Source organism: Homo sapiens, chromosome 10 (genome assembly GCF_000001405.40).
Source record: "Homo sapiens chromosome 10, GRCh38.p14 Primary Assembly".
Lineage (NCBI taxonomy): Eukaryota > Metazoa > Chordata > Mammalia > Primates > Hominidae > Homo > Homo sapiens.
In genome coordinates this window covers 62,878,360-62,893,440 of record NC_000010.11, presented here as the reverse complement: position 1 = coordinate 62,893,440, position 15,081 = coordinate 62,878,360, and positions in this window count along the sequence as shown.

The window sequence follows — 15,081 nt, the reverse complement described above, 5'->3', positions numbered from 1 at the left end:
TAGTCCCTGCCTTCTCTGTGGTTAGTTGTGGATTTCTGTTTTTTTCAGTTGGATAAAGGCAGTTTCCGACTACAGGAGACCTGCAGACTTACCATGTGTTCCTTGGAGCACCCTGGCTTAGTCAGGATCTTTCTGAATGCTCCCTTTGGGTGCACCTCTTGTTGATACAAGCAAAAACTAGCATAGGGACCCTGGAGCAGGAAGTGAATAGGTATTGTTGAAACCATCCCAATAAACCTTTATGAGGCCCCTATTCTGAGTTAGGCTGACTCATGGCTTGAATGTGGCCAGCAGTAGAAAAGGAACTTGCCACAGTGGTGGGAGGCATCCTGGTTTTTCTGAGAATAGGGAATGGTGAAGGATGGCTGGTATCTGTCTTTGAAATGCCTGTGCCCTACACTACCACCATGTCTGTCTTCCCTTTTCTGCCTTATCTTTTCCTCATCTCTCTAGCAAGTTCCGTCTCTCCTTTTGCCCCCCATTTCTCTGTCGCTGTCTTTCACTTTCTCCTCTTCAATGTGGTCCTAACTATTTTCTTCCACATCAAAGGTAGGAGTGGGTCACTTGATTAATTACCATGCAGCAGAATCCTTTGCCTCCTTGACACACAAGGCAAGGGGACAAAGGGCCGCTCTTTAGAAGCCCTGAGCTGTGTGGGTGCCGGGTGGGGAATTCACAAGCCTGAAAGAATGGAGCCTTCCCAGCAGGGATGTGAAGGTTCCTAGACCCTACAGAAGAATAAAGTTGCTACTGCCGCACATTGTGGTTGGGCCATATTTGCATTTGAGGGGAGAGCACACAACTCCAGTTTTAAACCATATGGAGTATATAGAAACTTGACTTAAACTTTAAAATCTTTTATGGGTGGAAATCAGTATCACTTGGAAATGAAAGGAGGTTAAATCATGATGACTGACAGTTTAACTTCTGCACTGTCCATTACAGCACCACTCGTCCCATGTGGCTGGTTTCACTTAAATTAATTAAACTAACATAAAATTTAATATTGAGTTCTTCAGTCGCACTAGCCACATGTCAAGTGTTCTATTGGACAGTGCAGGAATAAGGCATTTCTGTCATTGAAGAAACTTCTACTGGACACCCCTGCCCTTAACTCTTCATTTTTTTTAAGCCAGGTAGCTTAAAGGAGGTCTGGGGAGTACTTCACAATAGAAAATTAAGAGGGATTCCAGAACTGGCTGGAAAAAAAAGAAAACTTTTAACAGAATGACAGGGTAAAGTAAACTATTTAGAATTTAGTTGATCCAAATGAGGTATTGTTTGGGAAGATGTTTGAGCAGTTGAAAAAAAACTATACAATAAAAGTTGGAAGTATGACAGTTATTGTGATTATTCTTAAGAGAGGAAGTATTGGCAACTGAGGATGAAAACTCAGCTAATGGCCACATGCATTCTCCGCTCAGCAGAGTTGGAATTTAAGGACCAGACCTTCCAAGCCTTGGCTAGATCTCATTGCTAGTTAGAATTCGTCAAGTAAGGAGCGGTGCCTTCTTTGTAAGACTAAAGGTTACTCTAAGGAAGTGAGATGTGCTTCAATTCCCAAAGGGTGAATATCATCTTCCCCAACACATCCTAGCAGCAGTCCAGTGTCACTGAATGCCTTCAGATGATGACAATGATAATTAAAGGTCATCTTTGGACTAACCGATGGTCTTTGTAATTGGGAATAAATCCCATGAGAATGTCATTTTCAAATTACTTCATGGTTCAAGCCTGATACGGACCTTTCAGAAAAGGCCATATAGAAAAGATCCTCAGGCTACTCTACCCTAGTGTCATGATTGTAAAGACACAGACTAAGATAATGGATTCAAGTCTCCTGGCTTGCATGAGACAGGTTTCTCCTGGGTTGGGTAGTAATGCCACGGATATCCAGCGTCCCTCAAAGTCAGAACACGGGGTTCTTAAGACAAAGCAGCTCTAGCCACTGGACTGTGACTTCCTAAATTCACTAACAATCCTGCCCGCTCTCCCCTCCCCCAATCACTTTCATTTACTGACAAGCCCTTTGGCTCTGACCTCTTGAGGTTACAAAACCAAATGGGTAAGAGAGCTGGGGAATAATCCACCAAACTTTCATCAAGTCCTAGGCTCAGGGTTTCCCAAGCATGAGTGACTGTAGGTATTAGCGTCTGTGTGCTAGATCCGTCTTGCTGGTTCCTAAGTGAAGTGTGTGAGAGAGAAGTCTGGGCATTGGATGTTCTGGTAAAGTCTTAGTTTCCGCGGTAAATGTTGAGGAGGTCTTACCGCCTTGTCTGATGATGAATGAAGTATGTGATTAACCCAGAAGGAACTGAGGTTTCATCAGCACATGCATGAGTCTGATTCTTTATTGGTAGCAATTAGAACTTCACATAAACACGCTTATTACAAATCAACAGATATTCATTGAGTGCCTGCTCTTCAGTAGATTCTGTGGTATAGGGAAGGAACTTACCATTTATTTGTCATGTTTTATACAGATTGATGATATGTTATGATTCATAAACTTTGGAAGTCTCAAACATTTTGTGTTGAATATTTTAAGAGTTTTGTTTCTATCATCAAATGTAAAAAATAGAGAGTGTGAAGGAGGATTGTGGTGGGAAGGTCCCTTCTTGTCTATGCCTTCTGGGTCTGGGATGAACTTTGGTAAAAATATGTAGTTTGAAGGATTAGTCTATGATGAGCAGAGTCTGAAAATGAAAAGGTGGCTATTAATTACCAGGCTGCTGCTGCATTGATTAGTTGTTTGTTGAAATAGGAAGGCCATGCCAGAGCTTCCTCTCACATTCCTGGGATCTGAATTTACATGTCTGGTGTCTGCCTTCAGAGCAGAGTCGAAACTTGCTTGCCATTTGCCTTATCTCTTCATCACCAACAATCTGTATAGTTGGGGGAAGAATAGAGACTCACAGCCTCTTTTAGAGAGGCAAAGGATCTCCAAAGTCATCTGTCTTCACTTCTTCATCAACAAGTGAGAAATCTGAGGTTCAGAGAGGTGAAGCACCTGCCCCAAGGTGCACAGCTTGTTGGGTCGGAGGCTGAATGGCTGGAACCCTGGTTTCCTGCCTCTGTGAAGTGTGCTCTCTACCACGTTGATTTGTCCTGTGTTTTAAAGTCTTCCCACTGCTGATCTATTAAGAAGTGACTGATAACATTTTTAGGCAAAACTTTGGATACCTTTTCAGGTAAAATCAGAGTCATTTTTTAGAATCTGTGACAAAGATGATTCTAAATAGAAACTTCAAACTTCTGGATTCTGAGTAGTTTCTAAGCTTGACAAAATGAGATCTTTTAGCTTTCCTTCCTCAAAGGAAGGCAACTCTATCAGCCACATATTTGGATAACATACAGTCTAAAAAGTCTGCATTCCGGAGCCAAACTACCTGGATTCATAATCCTGGCTTTGCCACTTAGAAGTTATGAGACTTTGGACAAACCACTTAATTGCTCCATGCCTTAGTTTACTCATCTGTAATTTGGGAGTGACAATAATATAGTATCTTCCTCAGTTGAATCAATATATTGTGAAGTACTTAGAGTGGTGCCTGGCACATAGCAGGCATTATTTAGGCATTAGTTATTTTATTGTTACCCTTTCTTTCTTTCTTTCTTTCTTTCTTTCTTTCTTTCTTTCTTTCTTTCTTTCTTTCTTTCTTTCTTTCTCTCTTTTTCTCTCTTTCTCTCTCCCTTTCTTTCTTTCTTTCTTTCTTTCTTTCTTTCTTTCTTTCTTTCTTTCTCTGTCTCTCTCTCTCTCTTTCTTTCTTTCTTTCTCTCTCTCTCTCTCTCTGTCCCTTTCTTTCTTTCTTTCTTTCTTTCTTTCTTTCTTTCTTTCTTTCTTTCTTTCTTTCTTTCTTTCTTTCTTTCTTTCTTTCTTTCTTTCAAGATGGAGTCTCAGTCTGTCACCCAGGCTGGCGTGCAGTGGTGCGATCTTGGCTCACTGCAACCTCCGCCTCCCAGGTTCAAGTGATTCTCCAACCTCAGCCCCCCGAGTAGCTGGCATGACAGGCGTGCACCACCACACCCAGCTAATTTTTGTATTTTTGGTAGAGACAGGGTTTTTCCATGTTGCCCAGGCTGGTCTCGAACTCCTGACCTCAAGTGATCCACTTGCCTTGGATTCCCAAAGTGCTGGGATTACAGGCATGGAACACCTTGTCCAGCCACATTAGTTAATTTAATCATTTACTTGGTTAAATGCAATAAACTGTTTTCCCTCTTTATTTTCTGCATCAGAATATCTTACTGGGAACAAAGGAAAAGCATAAGAAATCAAGGGGGTAATGGTAATGTGATTTGATTGTGTGGGTTTCTTCTTCACCTTGAGAGACCAGAACACATCACCAGAGTATTCTACTGCAGCCCAAACCAGTGAGCATCAAGGCTCCAAGAGGCGTAAGAGGTCACCTGATGCATCTAACTGGTTTAGGAAGGAACCTGAGGCCCAGGGAAGGTCCCGTGGTCTTGATTGTCAATGGTGGATGCCTGCTGTCCACCAGTGCTCCAGGTGCTCTCAGTACACACAGCACCTGAAAACAAGGCATCACTTGGACAAGGGGGAGAAGTCTCCACATTTAGTGGATCCTGGGTAGAAATATGAATAACTTATTTCAGTTGTTGGAAAGCCTTTCATCTAGTGTGTTCAAATAGAAGGTGAAAAATGGGCCTATGTGTTTTCTGAGTCACACTAGATTTCCTCTTATCCCCATTTCTGAGCCTGCTTAATGATTTGCAGGAGTAGTTTAATAGAGCCCTCAATGGTGGTGGTAGCAGTGCTAGAATTTCTGACTTGGGTCCCCAGGAAGAATAAACACATATCCTCTTTAGTTGAGTGAGATCTCTTCACATCTCTTCAAGTCTGGCATCCATAAGCTGCAAACGGACTAAGATGCCCTTAGCTTTCTCAAGCGTCCAGCTGACATCCAACAGGGCCAAGTTCTCTGCCAAGTTCCCAATGGGTCATGACCTCATTTTTCAAGATGGTAACATGGATGAGCTGGGGCGATAATGAGATGACATATTTTAGTGATGAACTTCATTTAGATTTGTATTATCATTTTTTATTGTGAAATAATACATTCAAAAGATTATATGCCATACATGTGTAATTAAAAGATGAATAATAAAATGACCACCCATGTAACTACCACCCAACTTTTAAATTAGAACATATTAATATAACCTTATATGGGCTAGACTGAAAGCTCCTTGAGAGGCTGTGTGTGTGTGTGTGTGTGTATATATATATATATGACATATGTTACGTGTGTGTGAATAAATGTATATATATACAATTTTTTAGTACTTAGCAAGTACTGTATATATAAAATGTACATATATAAAATATATACACATATATAAACATACATATACACATATATATTTATTTGTATATACAAAATCAATTGCTTAAAGAGGTTAAGCAATTTGACCAAGGTTACACACTCACAAGAGGCAGATCTGGATTTGAAACCAGGCTTCTCAAAACTTGCAATCTCACTCACCCTACCTTCTTGACTAATCTTTTACAGCCCTTTGCTCTCCTCTACAACCTTTAGTGGAGTGCTGAGTGCATGACTGGCATTCAGTCAGAACCAAGGGAGGGTTGCCTGGTTGAGATTTAGAACACAGAGGATAAATAAAGCAAGTTGACAAGCAGTGCAGGAGCCCGCTCCTACTACAGAGCTGGCTAATTGTGCACACCTTTTTCCAATTTCGTGTTTGGTGCCATCACACTGGGTGCTCCACATTGGCTGTGGTGGGAATATTTACACCATGGAAATTGGCAAATGTGACCAGTCATGGCTCCCTTTTCCCCACTGTGGGGCTGTTGTAAAGTCTTTTGATGGTGTGTTGTGGCTGATCACAGGGAGGAACATCAGAAACATGTCTATGAGGGACATTCAGCTCTGCTGTATTCTTTACAAAAGTCCATACCCCTAATCTAATCATGAAAACACAACACACAGACCCAGATTGGGGAACTTTCTACAGGATGCCTGACAAGCCCCAAACTATCAAGTGTTAAAGCTGCAAGAGGCCTAAGAGATCACCTGATGCATCCTACTGTCTTCAAAAATCTTGAACCAGTTTTAAAAAATTGCGATAGTTTACATAAAAATCAAGATTTCTGCAATAGTAGTATTGTAATCACACCCAGCAAAAATTGGCTAGAACTGAGTGAGTTTCCCCCTTTTATTGGTGTCTGAATTCTCCAGTTTACAGTCGTTTCTATCTTTCATACAACTGTACTCAAATGTACCTAAGCCGGTCCAAACCCGCATATTCTATTGCCTGTCAGGCTCCTCAAGGCAATTGGGTTTATCTTTGTAGTCTATATTAACTTAAATGTGCAGTAAGACTGGGGAGAGAAGCCAGCCGGGCTGGAGTGCTGGGGGAAGTCTTTCTGGAGAGGTGCCTTTGCCTGGTGCCAAAGAGCAGCAATTCTCAGTGTGGGACCACCAGCATCGGCATCACCTGGGAACTTGTTAGAAATGCACATTCTTGGCACCATCCCAGACCTACTGAACCAGATACTCTGGAGGTGGGGCCGGCAACCTTTGGTTCAGCAAGCCCTGTGGGTGATTTGAATGTGTGCTAAAATTGGAGAACCACTGCATAGGCAGGCAGGTTTGAGATGGGCAGAGCCAGGTGGTCCAGGCAAGATGCCTCACTCTAGTAGTGGGGAGCTGGGAGTGGGCATGGACCATTTCATGGGTTTGCAAGTCAGTGTGCTGTGGGACAGAGCCTGGGGTCCGTGTGAGTTTTCAAGTCTATGGACCCTGGGCATATGCTGTATGGATGTGGGCTTTGCTTCCAACTGTTTCCGATGCTCTGTGTCAGAATGGGTAGGCGCCTGCCTGGGTTGAGGCTCAGGATTCCATGCTTGTCCTCTTTGGTGCTTCCTTCAGCAGCCACCCCATCCTTGCGCCATCAAAATCTCTGCAATGTGGATTTAGTGAGAAAAGAGAAAACAGTCCATTGTGGTTTCTTTTGATTGGCAGGTGATTAACCCCTTGGAGTCAGTCCTTTGTCCATGTGGCAGTTCCCTGGGTCTGAGTTGAGTGAGAGGGTTATGTAAATATGAGAAAATGTCAACAGATGTAAAGTATGTATCATGTACATTCCTACCTCCTTACTCTATTTTTAAGGACCTAGATCAAGTTTTACCTCCTCCTGAGTCCCTGTCAGGACTGTCTCTCCACTCTCTGTGTGTAACTCCTTGATATTTGCAGAGTGTCTGCGCTTCTGCCGTTGTGAACTGACCCCTAGGGATTCCCATCCGTATCCTCTTCCTCCTCCAGCTTCCCTCCTGACTCACTGCCTAACTCTTACTCATCTTTCAGGCTTCTTGTTAAATGTCACCATTTCTAGAAGCCCTTGCTGACCACACAGGGAATGGGACAGTTTCTTAGATCTGCTGGCATTGCCTGATTACTCTGACAGGAATTGTCACGTTGATCACTGTCCCAGCATCTAGCACAGTGCAGCGCACATAAGTGGTGCTCAGTCAGCACTCACTTCATGAACAAGTTGCCTGCAAACACACAGTGCACAGCATTGCCTAGTGGTTAAGCACCCTGGCTCTAGAATAATCAGTCTGTGTCTGAATCCTGGCTCCACCTAACTGGTAGTGTGGACAAACCACTTAACATCGCTGCGCTTTCTATTAAGGGACACATTGCTAGTACTGACTACAGGGTGTTTCATGGTGACCAAATGAGCTAAAATACTTAAAGCATGTAAAGAAATCTCCAGCAAATAGTAAGTGCTCAACAGCTATTAGCAGTCAACAGGCTTTTGGTGATGATTTATTGAATGAGACTGATGATATCTGACCTGAAGAAATTCTATTTATTTAAGTGGAAATATTTGTGAGACCTGACCCCAAAAAAGGGATGGAGGCATGCCTACCTGCTCAACAAGTGGTGCCTTTATTTTATTTTATTTTATTTTATTTTATTTTATTTTATTTTATTTTATTTTATTTTATTTTATTGAGATGGAATCTCGCTCGGTCACCCAGGCTGGAGTGCAGTGGCGTGATCTTGGCTCACTGCAATCTCTGCCTCCCAGTTTCAAGTAATTCTCATCCCTCAGCCTCTCAAGCAGCTGGGATTACAGGCATGCACCACTATGCCCAGCTAATTTTTGTATTTTTAGTAGAGACGGGGTTTCACCATGTTGCCCAGGCTGGTCTCGAACTCCTGACCTCAAGTGATCCACCTGCCTTGACCTCCCAAAGTGCTGGGATTACAGGTGTGAGCCACGGTGTCCGGACAAGTGGTGCCTTTACTGCTCTTCTTTTTTTCTTCTTTCTCCAGGGTAGCAACAAGTTGGGACTGATCAGGCTCACCAGACTTATTTGGGGTAGATGTATTCTAAGAGATAAACCCAAAGTTCAGAAGCTTTTCTGCTGTTTAGACTGACTCCATTAGTATTTCTTCCAAACAGCTTAAAGGTGTTAAATCTATTTGCTTGCTAGAGACACATGTATGTGACTGCAAGCCTATTTGTATCTGGGGAAGAGATTCTGAATGTGATCCAGTTCCTGTGCATTTTACCTATTTTATCTTGAGTTGGCTGCCTTCTGCCACAGGGTTGTAATTAATATTGTGTAGAACAGGAGGCTCATTAAATCGCCTCATTATGACTGTTCAGGTTCTGGGGTTTGGCTGAAAAGGATTTCCCTATTATCAGTGCCTGACATATATTCCTAATCAAGCAGGCCAATTCTCTTCTGTCAAGGACTGTCTTCCAAATGGAGATGGTATTTATTCTGACTTGTACTATTAGTGTGAAAGATGTTGGTTCTGCTGAGAGACATATAGGTCCCTGTCACAGGTCAGAGCTTTTTTTTCACAGACATGCAGAATGTAGGAATTCATAAGACACCATGCTTTTAGAGGCTGGCCTGTCAGTTGGGTTCATTCTTAAGTCTTTGGTGGAGGCAGAATTTTTGAAAAGGAAAATAAACATGATTATAAATTTTTGGAATCTTTGTGTCAGAAGAGGCTTTAGTAGCCATGTGACCTTCCACTCAACAGATGAGTTTTCTCTTACCAATTATGATTCCTGATTCTCAATCTTTGCTTGATGGCTTCCTTTGACAAAGAGCTCAGTACCTCTAGTGTGGCCATTTCAGACAGATCTAAGGAAAATCCGTGGCAATGTTGACTTGTAATTTGTCTTCCTCTTACTAACCCATTGTCCATCCTCTTACTAACCCATTGTCCCTAGTTCTGCCATTCAGAGCTGCACAAAACAAGTCTGGTCACTATTCTTTGAGAAAGCACTTTGAGCATTTGAGATAGCTCCCTCCTTCCCTTCTAATCTCTTCTTTAGATTAAATGTCTTCTCTTTATGGTTAGTCAGATCCTTCATCCTGCTATTCACTGATGCAAAATGAGATACCTTTCAGCCCTCCTCAGATGTGGTATCCAGAAGTGAATGAACCTTGCATGTGTGGTTAGTTCACCTGAAGGTCCAGGGAGGGGCTTCTGGAATTTTCCATGGAGGACAGTGTCACATGGTATTTTTGCCAGGTGGTGAGAAGTGTTGTTCTCTCTTCCTCAGGACCTTTTACTGCAGGGACCTGTACCTTACTGCAATCACACTTGCTCACTGCATGGTCGCTGGGGATACACCACTGAACTGGGCTTATGCTTAGAGCCTTTGGAGTTAGGCTGCCAGCATACAAAGCCCAGCTGTGCTGCTTGCAATTTGGTGTGATGTTGGGCAAGTTGTTCAACTTCTCTGAGCCTTGGTTGGGATGATAATAAGGTTTACCTCAGAAGCTGTTATGAGAATTCCTAAGATCAGGCATGTAATGGTTTAGCAGAACTTCTGAAAAATACTTAATAAAGTGCTGATAATTATTAATAACAACTAAACACCAATTATCTATACCCCACTTCTTCCCTTATCCTGAGCTTTGAGTCTCTGAATTTTGACCTTTAGCGGGTAATGCCAAACCTGAGAAGGGGGTGGGGCAGGAAATTTGTGGTAATTCCAAATGAATTTGTCTTTCACTTGAGTTCTTTTTTTATGTCCAATCTCAATACACTCATCGAGAACCTTTTCCATCCAGATTACTTTTTATATAATGTCGCATTTCATGTGAGAGAGAGAGAAAAAGAGAGTCCATGAACTCTATGTTCTTTCAAATGCTTTAGTGGAATGATCTCTCTCTCTCTTTCTCTCTCTCTCTTTCCTGTCCTGGGTCCTTCCTTCAAATGAACTGTTACTCAGAACCCCAGTGTGTAAGACAGATAACAGCTGAGCAGGTCCCTCTGGCAGTTCTCATCTTCTCTCCTTGGCAGAAGCAGCCTCATTGTTTGGGAAACCCCTGGAGGTTATCTGTGGAACCCCAGGATTCTGAGATGTATGTTTGAAAGCCTCTGCAAGAACCAGTTCCACATCCAAGTTTCTGAAATCTGGCCCTAATCCTTTCATTTGCCTGATCTCTTCCTGTGGGGTCATCTCACCTCCACCTTAGGTCAGAGGTCCCCACTCGCCTAACACACATCACTCTCTGACCCAACTGCTGTGAAGCTCTTCCCAGCTCTGACCTCCAAATACTTTTTAATTTTGTTCTCTTCTCTTGACCTCTGTGTCCCAGCCCCACTGAGAGCTGACAGCCATTCTCCACCCTGTCTTAAAGAGGGTCTCCAGGATTTAGGGGTGGAGTAGTGGAGGGGTGGTGGGATGGGACAAGAGGCAAGTGAAAGCCACACTTGGAGGGGGGCTCTGGCAGGGGAGAATGGAGAAGGGACAGATGTCCCTCAAAACTGAAGAGGTAGCCATTCAAGTGACAAACCTTTTACAAATCCAAATCTCTTTGACCTTTCTGCAGTATTCATTCATTCATGCATGCAAGCATTCGTTCGTTCAACAAGTGTTCACTGAGGTGTACCTGTTGTGTGGCATCTTGTACTGTTCTATTCTATGCACTGGGGCTCCAGGAGGGAAGACATCATAGCCCCGGCTCTGAAGAAATTCACAATCCAGTGGAGGAAACTAAGTAAACTTTGGTGATCCCCAGACACCCTCCTGGGGGTCCTTGATCACTTGTTCATTTGGCTTGAGGATTATACCAAAGCATCCCTCATTTTCCTATTCTAACTTCCTCCTAGATCTTAGATCGTATGATACCATCTTCAATTTCCAGGACCTGGCAAGTATAAGGAGAAAAAAAGAAAAACCTCTACACTCATAATGCAATTTTTTAATTAAACACATTGCACCCTTGTGCCCAGATGGATCTTCACAAAGCTCCACCTGGTCACAGCATTCCTTTATTAAAAGACTTTCAAAGAGGCCCTGACTTCTTAGCCCCCTTTCAGAGCTCCCCAGCACTCAGCAAGCTCTTCCTCTTCTGAACTCCTGGCCATTACTGCAGATGCTGATGGTGGAGCAATACATCTATTCTGCCTTGTGATGTTGCTTATATTGTTGTCGTGGTTATCGGTGAACTCTTACTACTAAGCTTCTCATGTATTTAGGCCATGCCTTCCTAATTACTTAAATGGTTTACTCAAAACTTTATTTCACAAGTAAGACACAAATGTATTCTTTTTTTAAAACAAAATTATAGAGAAAAGCAAAAGCCACTTTGAGCTAGGTTCATCCCTTTTTCATTTCTGTCCCAGAGAGAGAGCTGGTATGTGTCCTTCTGTGCCATTTAAAAAGCACACTTTTACATGCAGATATATTATGTATTCATAAGATATATAGAGTGTTATTTTCCTTATGTGTGTGTTTGCATAAATGACATTGTATGGTATGCATCATTCTATGATATTTTTCACTTAATATATTTTTGAGATCTACCAACATTGACATATGTAAGCCCTAGTAAGTTCTGTTAAATTGCTCTACTGTATATTCTATGCTGGTTGCAGTGGCTTACGCCTGTAATCCCAGCACTTTGGGAGGCAAAGGAGGGCAGATCCCTTGAACTCAGAAGTTCAAGACCAGCCTGGGCAACATGATGAAACCCTGTCTTCATGAAAAATTAAAAAAAAAAAATTAGCCAGGCATGGTGGTGCATGCCCATAGTTCCAGCTCCTTCAGAGGCTGAGGTGGGAGGGTCCCTTGAGCCTGGGAGGTTGAGGCTGTAGTGAGCCATGATCACATCACCACACTCCAGACTGGGCAACATATCAAGACTCTATCTCGAAAGGGTCGGGGCCGGGGCTATAATGTCTTCCCTCAAAAAAAAATTGCTCCACTGTGTTCTATGGAACCAGTGTACAGCATTTTGTTTGGCCCTTCTCATGTTGGACTTTTAGGTTGCTTCCAATTTTTTCTTGTAAACAATGCTTCAGCGAACATCCCTTAAATATGTCAAACTCCTTTTAAATCCTGTGGGAGGCAGGAACAGTGAATTCTGTTTCTTGAATCCTCTATTATCCCTAATACAAATCTTTGCTTATGGTAGATGATCAATCTGTTTATTAACATATCCATTGTGCAACATAGGTATATGTAAGCCAGTACACAAAGTTATGTTCTGAAGTGATGCTCTGGAAGTACACATTCAGAACTGACAGCTTTCTGGGTAGTCAGATCCAATCCATTTGATGCCTGGGAATTGGATCTACTCTCTCTTCTGTGGCAGAAGCAGCAGGGATCTCTCCTCTGGAAGAAGAAAAGATACCCCACACAGACTCTTAGGAAGACAAAAGCAGATCACGTCCCCAGAGGGACCACTTGCCAGTGGGCATATTTGCTCATTTTTCTGTTGTTCTTCCTGCCCCATACCCCAATCCCCTTTTGTTTTTTCCGATGAAGCCATTGGAGCTAGTTTTTGGAGCACTGAATGCCTTAACCAACCACTGCAGCCCAAATCCCTCATTCTAACCAGGGCAGAAGTCTAGGGGCAGGGATGGTAACAAGGCTTTGGCTCACATTTTGAATTGTGTGTTCATCAGCAATTAAACAGGGAGAGACCAAGATGGGAGGGTCTGGGACACCGTTGATGGTGTTTCCCCCTTTCCTTTCTCTGTTATGTCAGTTCAGCAGGTATTTGTGGATCACAGGTGAATCAGAGATGAGTTTCTTGCCTCAAGGAGCTTGTGTCTACTAGAACTAGAAAAGGTCAGGAAAGGGGCAGAACTCCCAAAACGGAGTTTTGTGGGCAGAGAAGCACCAAGGAATGCAGGATTGCAGAAGGGAGCATGCGCCTTTCAGAAGGTGAAAGCTTCATTCAGGAGCTAATCTTGTTTTTGAGCCTTGCAGTGAGACCAGGAGTAGTAGGAAGAGATGGTGGTGGGAGCAAGGCCCGCAGAGGGCTTCGGAGGAAGCTGACGAGTAAAGGGATGTATCTGGGACATCAGGAAACAGTCTAGTTGTGATACTCCAGGAGAAGAGGTGAGAAGTCTAGGAGGCAAATGTGAAGGAGGAATGGGTAGTAGAGGCTGAGTATTCTATCCCTGAATCCCTAACACGTTTTTGGCCCTAAAATCATTTTTTATGAATGCAGACTTAGTTTTATTTTTTTTGCTTTTCTTACTGAGGCTTAACATACATACAGTAAAGTGCAGAAATGTTTCTTTTCTTTTCTTTTCTTTTTAAGAGATGGGGTCTCCCTCTGTCACCCAGGCTGGAGTGCAGCGGCGCGATCATAGCTCACTGCAGCCTCAAACTTCTGGGCTCAAGGGCTTCTCCCGCCTCAGCCTCCCAAGTAGCTGAGACTACAGGTGTGCGCCATTATGGCTGGCTAATTTTTAACTTTTTTTTGGTAGAGACAGGGTCTTGCTGTGTTGTTCAGGCTGGTCTTGAACTGGCTTCAAGCCATCCTCTTGCCACAGCTGCCTGAGTTGCTGGGATTATAGGCATGAGCCACTGAGGCCAGCCCAAAGCACACAAATCTCAAGTGGAAGACTCAATGAATTTTTATAAATGTAACATAAGTAATAATATGCAGCTCAGTGAGATCAAAACACAGAGCATTTCAAATACCCCAGAAGGCTCCCTCATGCTCCATCCAAGGCAATAGTCACCATATGCACAAGTACCGCTCTTCTGATTCCTATCACCTAGATTAGTTTGTTATTAAACTGCAGTAAATGGATAGCTGTGGCGTGTACTTTAGGACATTTCTTCAGCAGCACTGTACAGAAAGTACAGTGAGGAAGGGAGGAGATTCTTGCAAGAGCAAGTGAGGAGATTGTTGCAAAAGTAAGTGAGGAAAAGAGGAGATTCTTGCAAGAGCCTGGGTGACATGTATTTCATTTCAAGGACTTTGAGCCGGGGTGGTGCCCATGAGAATTAGAAGAAGGCCACAGATGCTCTGGATGGCAGGGACACATAGGTCCTTAGGGACAAAACTAATGAAACCAGGGTTTATGCGGTCTGTGCACCACCTTCCAGGGCTCCAGCCTGCTCCAGGGCAGTGTACAGTCATGACAACCAGGTGTCTCCCAGATCACCTGATACACAATAAGCTCTCAGATGCACAGGAGGAAGCAGGACCCTTGGCTACAGGGCCACAGCAGCTTCTCGCCATGCTCCTCAGGGCTGTTCTCTAGAAGCCAATCTTCATTCGCCAGTCGCCCCAGCAATTCTGAGAATGGAGACACCCCAACTCTTCTGCAGCTGTAGGGATGGCCAGAGGTTTCAGGCACACAGTGCCTCTACAGGCTCCAGGTGATGGAGGAGTCAGACGGGGTGAAGGAGTAATCCAGAATGAATCAGGACCACCGAAGTCTGCCCTGCCCTGCTAAGAGCACACCACTGAAGTGGACACTGGGGGTCTGGCAGATTGTTCCCCACAACCCCCAGAAAAAAAGCAATTCCAGAAAGCAATTGACAGAGCCATTCCAAGAGACTAGGACAAATTATTCCTAATCCCAGAGTTTCCACCTGCGTGAGGTCAAGGTTAAGTAGAAATCAGTAATAGGGGAATAACCTTGAAAGGGAAGAAGAGAAGAGACCCAGTGCTGTCTGGGGAGGGGCTGGGGGAGTCAGGGAGAAATGTGGGAGTGGGGGAGATGCTGGAGGCAGCCATCCAGCCCCTTGCCCTAATTTTTACCCATTGGGTGCTGATTATATAGCTGAATCCCAAGCCTTTGG